General features: G+C 40.1%; 1 annotated feature.

Moving 5' to 3' along the window:
- Positions 3113–3612: an enhancer, noted in NCBI's record as "H3K4me1 hESC enhancer chr2:127128995-127129494 (GRCh37/hg19 assembly coordinates)". NCBI's record gives its function as "activates a minimal SCP1, AML or CMV promoter by ChIP-STARR-seq in naive H9 embryonic stem cells {active_cell/tissue: H9 hESC(naive)}" and the evidence as "EXISTENCE:reporter gene assay evidence [ECO:0000049][PMID:30033119]".

The following is an 18855-nucleotide window of genomic DNA, read 5'->3' on the forward strand; positions in this document are numbered from 1 at the left end:
TAGGAGGTGTCCTGGGGACACCAACCTTGAAGAGAAGGGAGCAAGGACAAGAAAGGAAGCATGTGAAAGAGGAAGTTGAGAAAAAGGAAGGTCCACATGGAAGGAGTACAGGATCCAAAGGCAAAATAGCAGCATCCCAGTGTGTTACGTAAGCAATGCCTGTGTACTGCATGCAGGCAAATCCTGCCACTCTAGTGACTGTGGGTGATTGGCACCCACCTGGTCAGGACGAGGCTGGGTCAGCATTAACAATCTTTAGCTTTTGTTTGCTACTTTGCCTTTGATGTACCTGCCTCTTACAGGAGCTATATTTGTTTTTGCCTTCCAGAGTACAGAGGCCAACATCCTTCCTATTATTAGGGGATATAAAAGTTCTAGGTGGTGGGGAACAGAATTTCAATAATACCAACACAATTAATGATGTTACCTAATCACTTAAGAGTATTTAATTCAGTGGTTTAGTGACTCAGTCAACCTGCAGGCAGTTTTTGAGCATTTATTAAATGCAAGGCACCCTCTGAGGCTCTGAGGCATCTGAATACTTCTAGACTTCAGGATCTGTAGCTGAAGGAAGCAGCTGCTGCTCCTACTTCCTCCTAGTGACTTCAATAAAACTCATTGGAGGTGGTGGAGAAACATCCAGGGCATTAGGAAGCCTGCCCTAGTCCTGGCTCAGACATGCCCAGGTCATGTGACTGAGAGGAAGCTGCCTCCTCTCTCTGATTCCCAGTCTTGTGGTATAGGCAACGTGTAGCTGTAACCAAACCCAGGTTCGGGTGCTCTCAGCTCAAAAGTCAAACATGAGAGAAGAGTTGGTGGGAGGAAAAGCAGGTTTATTTAGAGAGCCAGCAAACTGAGAAGATGGCAGACTGGAGTCCTAAAGTATCATCTTAAGTTAGTACAAATTTAGGGCCCTTTTATATTAAGGGCATGGGGAAGAGGAGGGGGTTGGGATCAAGAGGTGACTGACAACTGCAGATATCTGGACCCTGTGAGGGTCTGAGAAGGTTGGGACTTTTTTTGTCCTTGGTCAGGTAGCAATGCTCCCATAAATCTACAAAACATAGTTAATTGTTTATATACTTCTCCTTTAATCCCAGAGTTAGTTTTAAAAACTACATGACTGCTTTTGTTGTACGTTGTCTCAGGGCTCTAAAATTAGCCTGCATGCAGGAATACGTAAAGGCCTCTTAAACAAAACTGGAGTTACTTATGCTCATCGTATTGCTATTTCACTGCCATATACGTAAAACTAGTTACTCCCTCCTGGCACTGACATTTCTAGTTTCTATGACACTGTGTTCAGACACTTAGAAAGTTTGCAATATGAAAAGGTAACATTGGCATTGTTCAGACGATTCTCAGGGAAAACTAGCAAAAACTTTCCTGATAACCCTAACAGTCCTGCTATATTCCCCACCTCCCACCCCTGGAGATCAGGCTGGAATTCCAGATACAAACCATTTTTGGGCTGGAAGTTACTCAGCAAAAAGCACTCATCTTCTTCCCATAACAAAGACATATAGTGAGCACATATGGCAAATGAAAGTCCATTACAAGCTCCCTTTTGTTTATGATTTCTCCTTTTGTATCCCAAATGCAGTCAAAGAAATTTGGGATAGGGTTCGAGATCTAGGCAGGGTTTCTAGCTACATTTCACCTGAACGTCTTGCCCCGAGGGAAATGATACAAAGGATCCCTTCACCCTTGGCTTCCTGGAGACGTTTTCTAATGGCTTGGTTGTGAGGTGCAGGCTGGTTTTGGTCTCTGCCCTTCTTAGCAGGCAAATCCTACCACTCTAGTGACTGTGGGTGATTGGCACCCACCTGGTCAGGATGAGGCTGGGTCAGCGTTAACAATCTGTAGTTTTCGTTTGCTACTTTGCCTTTGATGTAACCGCCTGTCTTGCTATGATGTACAACACACAAATCAGCACACATGTTGTCACAGAAAAAATAGGTCTCCCCACTGTTGGCTAGAACCAGGGCCAATAACAAAAGGCCTCATTCATCTGATGGCAACAGAGCCAAAGAATGGCTTTCACAGGTCAAACCCAGCTTTTTATCACATGCCTCTGTAGTTTGATCACTCTCCTCTAGTGACCTTGTCTATTTCTCCTATCTGGATCTTTATTCCCAGGGCTTAGAATAGCAGCATTCATGAAACTGACTAGGAATGTTTCTTCCAAGTTTGTTATCCCCAGAGACAAGATTACTCACATCCCTTCTTTAAGAAGTGAAAATATTTTCACTTAGTGCAAACCTACAGTAATGAAAACAGTGTGGTACTGGCGTAAAGACAGACATATAGACTGGTAGAATAAGAATGGAGAGCTCAGAAATAAACCCTCACATACATGGCAAAATGATTTTCATCAGTGTTGCCAAGACCATTCAATGGGAAAGAGACAGTCTTAAATAAATAGTGCTGGGAAAACTAGATATTCAACATGAAAAAGAATGAAGCTGAACTCTTACTTCATACCACATACAAAAATTAACTAAAAATGGATCAAAGAGCTAACTACAAGAGCTAAAACTATAAAACTCTTAGAAGGAAACAGGAGAGAGCTTTATGGCATTGGATTTAACTGTTGTTTCTTGGATATCCCACCAAAAGCACAGTCAAGAAAGGAAAGATAAGTTGGAAATCATGAAAATTAAAAACTTTGTGTATCCAAGACACCATCAACAGAGTGAAATGACAACCCATTGAATGAGAGAAAATATTTGCGAATCACGCATCTTATAAGAAATTGATAGCCAGATTATATTGCCAATCCGAAAAATTGGAAAGATAAAAACCTAATTTTTTTTCTTTTAACTTTTATTTTAGGTTCAGGGGTACATGGGCAGATTTGTTATATAGGTAAACTCATGTCACCGTGGTTTGGTATACAGATTATTTCATGACCCAGATGCCACGTTCATGACTACACCAATTGTTATGCTCGGGGTTAGGTTCCACCCCATGCTGAGGTCCGGAGGGAGTGGGTGGATGAGCAGCAAGAACACTGGGGGGCCACAGGCAGGTGAAAGATGATTTCATTCAGCAGTAGCTCTCATCAACAGCTTTTCCACACTGTTTGCCCTGTCTCAGCTGCTTAGTCCAGCGGCGCCCCCACACACCTGTGCAGCCAGCTCTCCCTTGCCTTCAAGGTCAGCAGCTTACCTCTTTCTCTCTCTGGGCATGAGGAAGACGAGCTTTGTCCTGGCCCCCGTCAGTCCATCTGTAAATATGGACAGCTTTGGCTCTCTCTCTTTCTCTGGGCACCAGCATGCCTATACCATGTTGGCAGGGCAATTATACCTTTTATAGACAATAGTGGCATAGAGGCAAGCGATGGCCTTCCCATGTTATGGCTACACGGCTGTGATAACAAGTGAAGTTATAGGCCTGTGCTCTGAACTCACTGAGTCATGCAGGATGTAAACATCCTACCTCAGCCTATCCTTGACCAAGGCACAGGCATGTTCCTTACACTCCACCCCCTAGGCCGAGGGAGGCATAGGCCTTGGATACACAGGTTATACACATAAGCTTTGGGTACATAGGCTCGATATACACACACAGGCTTTATACCTAAGTTTTGGACACATCAGTTTGATGTACAGGCTTGGCACACAGGCCTTACGTTCCACCCCCTAGGCTGAGGGAGTTTTCTTAGTGGGGCTCCATGCCCATAGGGCACCGATCTGAATTCATAGGTTACAGCAGCAATACAGAAGGCAACAACCTACCATTAATATTCCTGTTATGCTACCTATGATTATTAGAGCCCAACATTGGGTAGAGCCCAGAGATGCCCACTATCTCTGCAGGGAGTCATCAGTAAGGCATGAAATCGCCTTAATCTCCCGTGACACTTCTTGTAAAGGTGTCCTGGTGGTTGTCAGGAATAAATGTACAACATTGTGTCTCCACAAGGGCACAGGTGCCACCCTGGGCAGTTGTGACTATGTCTAAGACCATTGGGTTTTGCAGCACCACCTTCCTGATCTGATTAACCTCATCAGTTAACAAACAGAGAGTCACTTGGGTATAATTTAGGTTCCGAACTACCTGCTCTGCAAGGGCTGTAACTTGCGTCTACAGAAATGACACCTGCTCCAGGCATAGTTATTGCTAAGGGGTAGAGCCACCAGGGAGCCCACCGCATTTGCAAAAAGCAGGAATGCAGATCCTCCCAGTTACATGGGCGACTGGGTAATGTGGGAACCACAGTGGCAGGCTCATAAGGCCACCCCCAGGTACAATGTCCAGTCCAGTTGGCTGGCAAATAGGGCCATCCTGTGTCCTTAAAGACCCATAAACTCCCAGGTGGCACAAAGTCCATGGGGGCCTGGCCTCGGTAAGGCCACACCAATGGTGTGGTGACATGTGTTATGTTTGCACAAACCTCAGCAGGCAACCATCCCAGTGACTTGTGCTGCTCTATGCATCATGGTACCTGCAATGTTGGCACCACGTGTTCTCCCATTAGCCAGCACCATCCATCATGGACACTGTGAGTCAGCCAGGGGTCAGGCTTGCCATGGGTTTTGCGACACTCTGACTCCAAAGCCTGCCCTGTTGCATCCCACCCATTGTCCGTGGGACTCGAAGTGTCTAGCCATATCCAGTTCTGCACTGAAGCTGGATGTATGTGCTAGGGCAAGCCATCCACCACCGCTGCTGGAAGGGTGGTGCAGATCTAAGAGTTGGAGACATTGGTCACCTGAGCGTAGGTGTGGGCCCAGTTGACGATGCTGTTGGAGCATGCCAACCTGCGGAGGGGGTATCTTCCCCTTGTTTATGTCATGGGTTCCCCAGTCCCACCAATGGCCTTCTACCTCCCCAAGGGCTGCCATAGCAGTAGTCACTTCATGTATGTGGTGCTCCACATATAGGGTGAGAACAGCAGCTAGAGAGCCAAAAGCATCCGGGGACGCTGAGCCAAGCACAAGATCCCTCATGTGGGAAGTAAAGCTTTCATCATCTGGCCCCTGGGTATTCAGATCAAACATAGCCTGCCACATACCCATCTCCCAGAGTACCTTCACCAAATTGGTATATGATTGCCATTTACTCACAATTTCTGGTGTCTCTCCGGCATCATTCTGGCATCATTCCAAACAGTCCGTATGGCTGCTGCCATTAGCCACTCCATTAATGTGTGGTCACCATGCCCTTGTGGGGACATAATGTTGTACATTTAGTCCTGATAACCACCAGAACATAATGACAGCTTTACAAGGGGTGTCGTGGGAAATCAAGGCGATTGAATGCCTTACTGACAAACCCCCACAGAGATAGTGGGGCGTCTCTCCTCTCTACCCTAAATTGGGCCCTAATGATCACAGGTAGCATAACAGGAATATTAATGGTAGGTTGTTGCTCTCTGTATTACTGCTGTAACCTAGGAGTTCAGTGTGCTTCCCTATGCGCATGGATCCCCACTTAGAAAACTCCCTCGGCCTAGGGGGTGGAACGTAAGGCCTGTGTGCCAAGCTTGTACATCAAACTGATGTGCCCAAAGCTTATGTATAAAGCCTGTGTGTGTATATCGAGCCTATGTACCCAAAGCTTATATGTATAACCTGTGTATCCAAGGCCTATGCCTCCCTCGGCCTAGGGGGTGGAGTGTAAGGAACATGGCTGTGCTTTGGTCAGGAATAGGACAAGCTAAGATGTCTATATCCTGCGTGACTTAGTGAGTTCAGAGAGTAGGCATATAACTCCACTCGTTATCATAGCCATGTAGCCATAACATCGGAAGGCCATCACTTGTCTCTATACCACTGTTGTCCATAAAAGATATAATTGCCCTCTTGACACTGGGCAGTCACTGGTGCCCAGAGAAAGAGAGAGAAAGCCAGAGCTGTCCATCTTTGCAGATGGACAGTGGGGAGCCAGGACACAGGCTGGTCTCTCTCATGCTGAGAGAGAGAAAGTTAAGCTGCTGACCCTGAAGCCAAGGGAGAGCCGGCCATGCAGCTGCAGGCGTCGGGGCGGCAGGAGACACAGATCCAGAGCAGACAGCCCGAATAAGGGCCAACAGTGTAGAGAACTAGTGTATGAAAGCTATTAATGAAAGCGGCTGCTAAATAAAATCATCTTTCACCTGCCTACAGCCCCCGAAGTGTTCTTTCTACTCATCCACCCACTCCCTTCAGACCTCAACATGACATTTGGCATAGTTGTAACCCTGACACCAGGTAATAAGTATAGTACACAATAGATATTTTTTTCTGATCCCCCCTTTCTGATCCTCAGGTAGGCCCCAGTGTCTGTTGTTCCCCTCTTTGTGTCCATGTGTTCTCATAATTTAGCTCCCACTTATAAGTGAGAACATGTGGTATTTGATTTTCTATTCCTGCATTAGTTTGCTAAGAATAATGGTCTCCAGCTTCATCTCTGTTGTTGCAAGGGACATGACCATTCTTTTTATGGCTGCGTAGTATTCCATGGTATATGTACCCCCCTCCCTTTTTTTTTTTTTTTTTTTTTTTTTTGAGACAGAGCCTTGCTCTGTCACCAGGCTAGAGTGCAGTGGTGCTTATCTTGACTCACTGTAACTTCTGCCTCCCGGGGTTCAAGCAATGCTCCTGCCTCAGCCTCCCAAGTAGCTGGGACTACAGGCATGCGCCACCACGCCCAGCTAATTTTTGTGTTTTTATTAGAAATGGGGTTTCACCATGTTGGCCAGGATGATCTTGATCTCTTGACCTCATGATCGTCCTGCCTCAGCCTCCCAAAGTGCTGGGATTACAGACATGAGCCACCTTGCCCAGCCCCATTTTCTTTATTCAGTCTACCATTGATGGACATTTAGGATGATTCCATGTCTTTGCTATTGTGAACAGTACTGCAATGAACATACATGTACATGTGTCTTTCTGGTAAAACGATTTATATTCCTGTGGGTATATACCCAATAATGGGATTGCTGGGTCAAATGGTAATTCTGTTTTTAATTCTTTGAGGAATCACCACATTGTTTTTCACAATGGTTGAACTAATTTACACTCCCACCAGTAGTGTATAAGCATTACCCTTTCTCCACAACTTCGACAGCATGTTATTTTTTTTATTTTTTACCTAATAGCCATTGTGACTGGTGTGAGCTGGTATCTCCTTGTGGTTTTGGTTTGCATTTCCTTAGTGGTTAGGGAAGCTGAGCATCTTTTCATACACTTGTTGGCCATGTGTATGTCTTTTTCTGAAAAGTATCTGTTCATGTCCTTTGCCCACTTTTTAACAGGGTTGTTTTTTGCTGGTAAATTTATTTACATTTCTTATAGTTTTTGGGTATTAGACCTTTTTCAGGATCATAGTTTGGAAATATTTTCTTCCATTCTGTATTTTGTCTGTTTACTCTGTTGATAGTTTGTTTTCCTGTGCAGAAGCTCTTTAGTCTAATTAGGTCCCATTTGTCAGTCTTTGCTTTTGTTGCGATTGCTTTCAGCATGTCGTGAAATCTTTGCCAGTATCTATGTTCAGAATGGTATTTCCTAGGTTATCTTCCAGAGTTTTTACAGTTTTAGGTTTTGCATTTAAGTCGTTAATCCATCTTGAGTTGATTTTTGTATGTGGTGTAAGGTAAGGGTCCAGCTTCAGTCTTCTGCATGTGGCTAGCTAGTTATCCCAGAACTATTTATTGAATAGGAAGTCCCTTCCAAATGCTTGTTTTTTTCAGGTTTGTCAAAGATAAAATGATTTCAAGTGTGCATTATTATTTCTGGGCTCTTGATTCTGTTCTACTGGTCTCTTCCGTTCTTGTACCAGGACCATGCTGGTTTGGTTACTGTAGCCCTGTAGTATAGTTTGAAGTCAGGTAGTGTGATCCCTCCAGCTTTGTTCTTTTTGCTTAGGATTGCCTTGGCTATTCAGGCTCTTTTTTGGTTCCATATAAATTTTAAAATATTGTTTTCTAGTTCTGTTAAAAATGTTACTGGTAGTTTGATAGGAATAGCATTGAATCTGTAAATTGCTGTGGGCAATATGGCCATTTTAATGATATTGATTCTTCCTATCCATGAGCGTGGAATATTTTTTCCATTTGTTTCTGTTATCTCTGATTTATTTGAGCAGTGTTTTGTAATTCTCATTGTAGAGATCTTTCACCTCCCTGGTTAGCTGTATTCCTTGGGGTTTTATTCTTTTTGTTGTGATTGTGAATGGGATTGCATTCGTGATTTAGCTCTTGGCTTGGCTGTTGGTGGTGTATAGGAATGTTATTTTTGTGTGCTGATTTTGTATCCTTGAAACTTCACCAAACTGTCAGCTCAAGGAGCTTTTGGGCCGAGACTGTGGGATTTTCTAGACATAGAATCATGTCATTTGCAAAAAGGGATTGGTACTTCTCTTTTTTAGTTTGAATGTGTTTTGTTTTTTTCTGTTGCCTGATGGCTCTGGCCAGGACTTCCAATACTATGTTGAGTAGAAGTGATGAGAAAAGGCATCTTTGTCTTATGCCAGTTTTCAAAGGGAATGCTTCCAGCTTTTGCCCTTTCAGTATGATGTTGGCTGTGGGTTTGCCATAGATGGCCCTTACTATTTTGAAGTGTGTGCCTTCAATGCCTAGTTTATTGAGAGTTTTTAACATGAAGGGATGTTGAATTTTATTGAAAGGCTTTTCTGCATCTCTTGAGATAATCATGTGGTTTTTGTATTAGGTTCTGTTTATGTGAAGGATTGCATTTATTGATTTATGTATGTTAAATCAACCTTGCACCCAGGGATAATGCATACTTGATCCTCGTAGATTAGCTTTTGGATGTGCTGCTGGATTCAATTTGCCAGTGTTTTGTTGAGGATTTTTGCATCTATGTTCATCAAGGATATTGGCCTGAAGTTTTCTTTTATTTTTATTGTGTCTTTGCCAGGTTTTGGTGTCAGAATTATCCTGGCCTAATAGAATGAGTTGGAGAGGAGTCCCTCTTCCTCGATTTTGTGGAATACTTGTAGTAGGAATGGTACCAGCTCTTCTTTGTACATCTAGTAGAATTTGGCTCTGAATTTTTCTGGTCCTGGGGTTTTTTTGGTTGATAGGCTATTTATTACTGATTTAATTTCAGAGCTCATTATTGCTCTTTTTGGGAATCCCATTTCTTCCTGGTTCAGACTTGACAGAATGTTTGTGTCCAGGAATTTATCCATTTCATCTAGATTTTCTAGTTTGTTGCATAGAAGTGTTTGTAGTAGTCTCTGATTATCTGTATTTCTGTGGGGTCAGTGGTAAGATCCTTTTGTCATTTCTAATTGTGTTTATTTGGATCTTCTCTCTTTTCGTTTTTATTAATCTGGCTAGCAGTCTATCTTATTTTTTCCAAACAACCAACTCTGGGATTCATTTATTTTATTTTTATGGTTTTTTATGTCTCAATCTCCTTCAGTTCAGCTCTCATTTTGGTTATTTCTTGTCTTCTGCTAGCTTTGGGGTTGGTTTGGTCTTTCTTCTCTAGTTCTTCTAGTGGTGATGTTAGGTGGTTAAATTGAGATCTTTATGACTTTTTGATGTGAGAATTTAGTACTATAAATTTCCCTCTTACCATGGCTTAGCTGTGTCTCAGAGATTCTGGTACATTGTATCTTTGTTCTCATTAGCTTCAAAGAACTTCTTGATTTCTGCCTTAGTTTCATTATTTACCCAAAAATCATTCAGAAGCAGGTTGCTTAATTCCCATGTAATTGTATGGTTTGAGCTATTTTCTTCATATTGAATTCTATTTTTATTTCACTGTGTTTCAAGAGTGTGAAGAACCCAAGTTTTAAAGAGTTTATTCAAGTGCAGAGTTTAAGGGGAGCCACTCAGAAAAAAGACTACAAAGGGAAGGGGTCAGTGCTCTGAAATGAAGAAGATGAGGCTTCACTTATGGGCAGAAGCAGGAAAGCTTTGTGAGATTGCAACATTTTCCATACAGTGCTAGTTTATAAGTTAAAACAATTTGATTGATTACAGTTTGTCCTTTTTCAGGAAAGGTAGATTTATCATTTCATCTTGAGCAATTTGATTATCAAAAGGTCTTCTGTCACCTGGTCTGGGTAGTGTACAAGAAAAAGGAAGGAAGTTAATCTATAATAAAGGGTCAATAATTAAGAGGGGCGGGGTCTTATCTCTGGAACCAGTTAGTCTTTTACAGCATTTTACAGGGCAAAATAAATAAATAAATTAAAAAACAAGAAATGAGTTAATCTATAATCAGATAAGCAAAGGTTACAGCAGCTTGCTGTGTGACTTGGGTCTCACAATCACATTTTCTTTAAGGCTCAAAGTAATTTAAAGTCTCAATAGCTTTAATCTAAATTATTTTCACAATATAAAGAACTCCTATCATTCAACAACAAAAAAAAACCAGTTTTAAAAATTAAATTTTACTGTTTGAAATTTTTAAAAATAATAAAATTTAAAAAGTATACTCCACTATTCAAGCATCTTTTTAAATTCCTCATTTTATATTGAGTAGAATTCAAACTTCAAGGCAATCTTCCTTCACCCTCCTCCACTCTTTGTGCTTCCCGTTGTAGTCTGTTTTCTGAGTGACTCCCCTTAAACTCTGCACTTGAATAAACTCTTTAAAGCTTGGGTTTTTCACACTCTTGAAACACAGTGAAATAACCATCAACAGGCAGTTAATAAATATTTGTGTAATTTTTACCTAGAATTTTACATTTATATTTTAAAATGAACAAACCCGTTTATTATTCCCTCCTTAAGAAACTGGCCTTTTTTTTTTTTTACTTAACACTTTTTCTTCTAATTTCTCCCTAGGGAAGCATTATCTGGAAATATTTTTCCCGAGTAGGATTCATGAGTATTGAAGCAACCCCCCGCCTTTTATTTTTAAGAAAGGAGGTGAGGTCTGTAGTAAAAATAGCTGCCTACATTAGATGGGATTGAGTGGTGAAGGGCTGTTGGTGTTGATTTCTGAAGACCAAAAATCTAATACAAGATGAGAGACAAAATCAAAGGAAGAACAATCCAAGCAAGGGAACAGTTTATGACAAAGTGCAGAAATTTGCAAACAATTCAGCACTTTTGAAATGCAAACACGTGTGAGGTCAGGGTGGAAAGAAGAAAATAGGAGAGGGGCTGAAACGCAGGATGTCTCTTGGCAGAAACAAGATAACAAAAAGCCTCGTGAACTGTACCAAGGAATTTAAGTTTATATGTACTTGAAGATGACAAGCAAGGGACTGAATGTTCACAAGATCACTCTGGCAACCCTGGGGAGACTGGAATCGAAGCAGCATCATTGTCTAGGGTAAATACCCAAGACTTGTTGTCTCATGGCCACGGAAAACTAGGATGCGGACACACAAACACTGAGGTTCAGAGTGGAAGTTTAATAGGTGAAAGAAAGAGAAAAGCTCTCTCTGCTGCAGAGGGAGGGGTCCCAACTGGGTTTTCTGCTTCTATGGTGAAATTCAGGAGGTTTTACAAATGAGCTTGAGGAGGCAGTGTCTGATTCACATAGGGCATGAAAGATTGGTCAGAACAGGTGTGCCATTTGCATAAGGCATGAAAAGCTGGTTAGGACTAGGTGTGGCATTTGCATAGGGCATGAGAGGCTGGCCACCACCACCCTAATCTTTTATTACGTAGATGGGTTCTCTACCTATCAGTGCCGTGTTGCCTGTTTCTTTACTGTACATGGTAACAAAGAAAAGGGAAGATGGAACCTCCATGTTGAACATGCCTGGCCCCAGGTAGCCCTTTTCCATTGGCACAGCTGCCAGCATTCCCCCGTGCAAGCTTCCAGCTTGCTTATCTGTGTTTGCAGCCTGATTTTTCAGGCAGCTCTTTGTTAAAAAAAAAAATAATTTCTTGGGCTGCTTTTTTGTTAGAAGGGAAGCCTTGCCAAGGACTCTTTTACCCTCACTGTCTGCCTAAATAATTTCTTTCTATCTCCTGTATCAGGATGAAGAAGAGGTGCAACTTGGAAAAGAGATCAGCAGCAATCCAGCTGGAAAATAGTGATCATCTGAGAGGAGAGTGGCCATCTGGTTGAATGAAGGGCAACAGGCGTGAATAAAATAAAAGAAGTAGGCTTGATGGGTAACTGACCACCTGTGGGGAATTAAGGATGTTTATCAGAGAGGATGAAATATTGGGATGGTTTTGTGGAGGGAGGGCAGTAGAGGGGTTCAAGCCAGGACATTTGGGCAGAGATGCCCTATCTCTTGGCTTATACTAGTGAGTTCACCTGGATAAAACTTTTACTGTGAAGCGGTGACACTCTGCCCATCCACCTTGTAAGTTCTTCTATTATAAGGCTGTAGAAAAAGACTCAAGTGGCTCTTTAATTTGATTCCTTGTGCAGGTTAGATTTTTTTCCTAGAATAACTTCAGTCTGCTAATTTCACATTAGTATTACTTAAGGTCCTCAACAATCAAAGAAAAGCTGCTTTCAGACTTCAAGTGCCCACAAGGCACTCCTTGGGAACATGTACTACTAATCCTGTGTGTTCCTTCTAAGCCGAACACTGACCTATGAAGTCCCTCAATCAAGTATCTCTGCTCTTTTCCATAGTGTCACTATTACTGTCTTCACTTTTTTTCTTTCATGTCACCCTTTCTCTCTCAGTTTACCTCTTTTCCCTGGGCAAAGATGCTGCCAAAACTATACAGCCAAACTGCCTCCCTAATCAAGACTGGGAATAATAATAGACCACTGCTCCAATGGAGCATCTCTTTCTTTTCAGGGCTGCATGACACTTTGCACGGAGCTTCCTACCTCCAAGTGACATTCTTACCTGCAGCTGAGTAAATGAGTCCGCCTCCCATACAGTTGTTTTATAGGATTTGCTAGGGATTAATTCTTTCTTTTCAGCTGTACCTTGTCAGAGACCACAAATGAACAAAGAGGAACATCAAGAAATAGGAGATAGGCTGCGTTTGGCTTTGTCTGGCATTCACTCCTATTCACCCGGCCAAGTTTCTTGATGCTGTTGTGACGAGGCATTGTTGTGGGTGGAAAGCTTGGAGCTATAATGCACGTGGCTGCCACACAGCTGGCGCTGTCGGCTTGAAGCTGGAATGGAGTGAACCCGCCTGTTAATTTGTACATGAACACACACTAATCTCTCATTCACACCCTGGGTGGCTGGTTTGTTCTGCACACAGATGAATCTAAAAAGCTTTGGCCCTCTGGCATTCCACAGATGAGATTCTCATTAGGAACGGCAGTTCCCTCTCTGACCCAATGGAAGAAGTATCATGGGCTCCAATCCCAGCTTCTCATTCTCTCCCTATTTAATACTACTAATAATATTTAGCATATTTGAGTCCTTCCTACTACTACCAGATCCATGTAAAGAGCTTTACAGACAATCGCCCACTCAGTCCCTACAAACATCTGCTGGGGAGTCACTGCCTAACAGTGGGTGTGTTCCCCATTTCTAAAATTTCCCCAGACCAGTTGCCATCTTCCTTCCTGGACACAATAATTGCTGCTCTAATTTCCCTGCTCTCTAACCCTATCTTTAGATCCATATATCAGTTCCTGCATCCTCAGGGACCCCTGTCTTAATGCTTTCTTCTTTAGCTCCATCCCAGCACACTCTACCTAATATAGTTCCATGGTCCACAGTTCCATGGTCCATGACCATGGACATTATGGTGGCAAGAATTTATCCACCAACCAGGTCACCTCTAGTTTACAATAATAATAAAATTTAAATGTAATTTTATACTTACCTCCAAACTCATCCTTATATACATTAAATATATATATAGCCTACTGTATGCCAACCATACCTTAATAAAGTAGTTTTAAATATAAATTTAATTCAACTTATGTTATTTTGATTATGAACAAATTAAATTGAATTAAGTTTAAGTTTAATTATAATTAATGTAGTATAAAATAGAAATATGATTTTTAATATATTAAATGTAATTATAATTTTCACTCGTGTCCATGTGAAGAGACCACCAAACAGGCTTTGTGTGAGCAACAAGGCTGTTTATTTCACCTGGGTGCAGGTGGGCTGAGTCTGAAAAGAGAGTTAGTGAAGGGAGATAGGGGTGGGGCCGTTTTATAAGATTTGGGTAGGTAAAGGAAAAAGGGGGGTTGTTCTCTGGCGGGCAGGGGTGGGGGTCACAAGGTGCTCAGCAGGGGAGCTTTTGAGCCAGAATGAGCCAGGAGAAGGAATTTCACAAGGTAATGTCATCTGTTAAGGCAGGAACAGGCCATTGTCACTTCTTTTGTGGTGGAGTGTCATCAGTTAAGGCAGGAACCAGCCATCTGGATGTGCACGTGCAGGTCACCGGGGATATGATGGCTTAGCTTGGGCTCAGAGGCCTGACAATAATTATTTAATGTTTTAAACAAAGGTAACAAATACTCAAAATTTATTCCTTCCTAATGATCTGACCATTTTCTATGTTCTTCAGATCATTTCCATGTATTGTAAGTCTGTGGTAGAAATATCTATCCCTGTGTTCTACTATTCCTCCCTTCCCAACTCTGCGTTCAGTGACATCACATTAATAGCTGCTTAAAATCAGCCATGGGAATAGTTACACCAGAGAAGAAGGGAAGTCCTACAAATCAAGGCTTAGTGTATCATTTTGCTGGTTGTGTAGACCAGGAATCACCAAACTAAGGCAAGTGAGTCAAATCTGGCCTAAAGCTAAGAATGAGTTTCACATTTTCAAAGGGTTATAGACAGGAAACAAAGAATATGCTACACAGAACTGATGTAGCTGCAAAGCTTAAAACGTTTACTATCTGTCACTTCACAGAAAAATTTTCTCACTCCTGGTCTAGCACAGGGCTTGACGCACTATGGCCCGTTGGCCAAATAATCCAACTTGTCACTTGTTTTGTAAATGAAGTTTAACTGGAACACAGTCAGGCTTGTTCATTTACTTACTGTCCACGGCTGTTTCCATGTCACAATGGCAGACCTGGGCGGTTACCACAGAGAAGGTCAGGACTGCAAAGCCTGAAATATTTACCATGTGACACTTCACAAAGTTTACTGAGCCCTGTCTAGACTAAACAAAGTAATGAAGAAAAGTTAATAATGCAGATTAAACTTCAAAATATGTTATATCTGTAGCTGTCACATGGCAAATAGCACACAAATTTAGAAAACATTCCAATATTTAACAACCATTATTTGAATGCACAAAGAACATACTCAGGTCATTGGTGAATGAGTGAAGTTCTGATATATGTTTTTTTTTTCACTGTTTTCTTACTTGTTAACGTAAACAAAAATGTCAGCCAACATCATTTGGGAACTATAGTTGTCTGTCCATTGTAACCTTAGGTTAGCCATAGATGTGAGTTCCACAAAGATCAGCAAAGCACTCTGCAAGAATTTATTTCCTATATGGAATTTACAATACAGCATATTGTATATTTTGTTATTTGTAAATTATGTGCCATATACATTCTTTATGTCAGTAAATGAATGTACCTAAATGTATATATGGGTATACATGAGTATATATATGTTATTTTTGGCTCAGAGAACCAGTGTTTAAACATTTACCAACATGCCATCCAGCTACTTAATGGAGCCTGGTAAAGCTACTATACAGAGGAACTATAGTACCATTTGGGTTGTTAATGGAGGATAAAAGTCCTACACAAAAGCAGGAAGGAGGTAATAATAACTAGCAGTTTTAAAATCAGAATTGCTAGAGGATAAAAGGGTTAAATTTTATAAAAGTTCTCACATGTTAGAAAAAGTGCTGATCTCAGCATGGGAGTTGTCAGTTTCTAATTTTGATACTTGCAGTATCTGAGATACCCTCTGCTCCTTAAAATGAAATCACTAAAGGATCTGGCCTTGCAGGAACTCTCTCAATTATGTTTTATTGCTGAGAGTAAAATTATCTGGAGATTCATCAAGGTTGTTGCATGTATCAATAGTTTGTTCTTTGCATTGCTGTATATCATCCCATGGTTGTTTTTCTTTTTAAACTATCTACTCATTAAAGGATATCTGATTGGTGTTTTGTTTTGTTTTGTTTTGTTTTGTTTTTAGCTAATAAGAATAAAATAGCTATGAACAATCATGTATATGTTTTTATGTGAGTATAAATTTTCTTTCTCTAGGTTGGACAAACAAAAGTGCAATTGCTGGGTCATTTCATAAGAAAAGCAGAAGAAAAACAAAAATGCAATGCTTGGGTCATTTCATAAGAAACCTCCAAACTGTTTTCCAGAGGGGTTGGTTGTACCATTTTACATTCTACTAGGAATGTATGAGTGCTCTCAGGATCCTTGCCAGCATTTGGTGTGGTCATTACTATTTTTAAAATTTTAGCCATTCTGATAAGTGTATAATGATATCATATTATGGCTCTAATATGCATTTTTCTATTGACTTATGACATTTAACATCTCATGCTTATTCAACAATTATTTTTCTTCTTTAGTAAAATGTTTCTTCATTTCATTTGTCCTTATTCTAAATGAAATGGTTTATTTTTGTTGCTTATTTTGTTTTTCTTTTACTGATGAGATTTGAGAGTTTTTATATATTCAAGATATCAGTCTTTTGTCAAATATGTGGTTGCAAATATTTTCTGACAGTCTGTAACCTATCTTTTCAGTCTCTTCACAGGGTTTTTCTCAGGATGAAAGTTTTTCATTCTGATAAGATTAATTTATCAGATTATATTTGTTTTTCTTAATTTTGGTGTATCCTAAAAACTTTGTCTAACTATGGATCCTGAAAATGTCCTCCTATTTTTCTCCTGAAGGAGGCTTAGAGTTTTACATTTTATATTTGTTTGTGATCCAATTTGAGTTAATTTTAATAGAAAGTGATATTTGTTAACTATTTGTGGATAACTTTTATATCTAACTTCACAAAAGATATTGATGTATAGTTTTCGTTTTTGTGCTATGTATGGCTGGTCATGTTATCAAGTTAATCCCAGCTTCATAAAATGAACTGAGACATTTTCCCTTCTCTTTTGTTTTCAGGAAGAGATAGTATAAACTTGGCATTAATTCTTTAAATCTTTGGTAAAATTGTGTAATTCTGCAATGAAACCACCGGGACTTGGAAATTTTTTTGAGAGTCTTTAAATTAAAAATTTAATTTCTTTAATGATAAAAATACTATCCAGGTTTTCAATTTCTTCTCATTTGATTTTTTGGTAGTTTGGTAGTTTCTTCTAAATTGTCAGATTTATGAGTGTAACATGCACAGTATTCTCTGATTATCTCCTTCCTGGCTGCAGGATTTATAATAATAGCTTCTATATTTTCTATTTCATTCCTGATATTGGTGAACTGTATCTTTTCTTATGTCAGTCTTGTTAGAGTTTTATCAATTTTATTGATTTTTTTAAAGAAGTAACTTGATTTATTTATGGTGTTTTTAATATGTCACTTTGTATCATTTTATTAGTGGTTGCTTGAGGTATTACAATATACTCACATAACATCACTGTCTACTGGCATTGATGTTTTACTACTTCTTGCAAAGTATAGAAGACTTCCTTTTAAATTTGTTTTCTCTCTTCATTTCAAAGATATAATTGTCTTAAGTATTTCCTTTTTATATATTGAGCACCACATATGATGGCTTTATAATTTTTGCTTCAACCATCAAACATAATAGGGATGATCTACTAAATTTACCCCTATTTTCATCCACTTCAAAGTTCTTCTTTCCTTTCTGAAGTGATGAGTCTTCCTATGTTAGTGTCTTCTTTTTGTTTAGAGAACTTCCTTTAGGAATTCTTTACAAGTAGATTTGCTAGCAGAGTATTATCTTTGTTTTTCTCTAAGAATAAATGTATTTCCCCTTCATTTCTGCAAGTTGTTTTTGCTGGACAGATAATTCTTGGTTGAGAGCTCTTTACTTCAGTACTGAAAAAATCTTCCATTTCCTACTGGCTTCCATTGTTTCAGATGTGAAATCCACTGTTATTCAAATTGGCATTTCTCTATAAATAATGCATCTTTTTTCTCTTGGTGTTTTGAAGATTTTCTTCTTTGGTTTTAGAATGCTGAAGTTAATTATGATGTGTCTTGGCCTAGATTTCTTGGGCTTATTCTATTTGCAGTTATTTCAATTTCTTGCATTTGTAGGTTTTTTCATTTTCCAAATTTGAAGTTTTCTTCCATGATTCCTCTGAATATTTGTTCAGCCTCAGTGTCTTTCTTTTCTTCTTTAAATTCAGTGTTATAAGTCTTGGATTTTTTTGTCATTTTCCTGCAGGACCATGAGGCTTTGCTTATTGTTTTGTTTTGTTTTTTATCAATCTATCTTCTCCATGTTGTTCAGATTGGGAAAGGTCTATTGCAGGAGTTTCTGATGTTTTGGCTTCCCTGGGCCATACTGGAAAAAGAATTGTCTTGGGCCAGAAATGAAATGCACTAACACTAACAATAGCTGATGAGCTTTTTAAAAATTGCAAAACAAAAAAAATCTCATAATGTTTTAAGAAAGTTTACAAATTTGTGTTGGGATGCATTCAAAGCCATCCTGGGCCACATGCAGCCTGCAGGCCACAGGTTAAACAAGCTTGGTCTATTGATATGCCCTCAAGTTCAGTGATTTTATCCTCTGTCAACTCCACTGTACTATTGAGCCCAATCCACAAAGTTTTGCTTTTTGCTGTTGGGTCTTTTTTCTTTCTCTCTCTCTCCCTCTTTTTTAGAATGGAGAGTTATTATGTTTTGGATTTAAATTTCTGAAGATATTGTGAAGATATTTATATGGCTTGGCTCTGTGCCCCCACCCAAATCTCATCTCAAAATCTAATCCTCATATGTTAAGAGAGGGACCTGATGGGAAATGATTGGATCATGTGGATGGATTTTCCCCTTGCTGTTCTCATGACCGTGAGTAATTTCTCGTGAGATCTGGTAGTTTGGTAAGTGTCTGGCACTT

The sequence above is a fragment of the Homo sapiens genome, chromosome 2, assembly GCF_000001405.40.
Source record: "Homo sapiens chromosome 2, GRCh38.p14 Primary Assembly".
Classification (NCBI taxonomy): domain Eukaryota; kingdom Metazoa; phylum Chordata; class Mammalia; order Primates; family Hominidae; genus Homo; species Homo sapiens.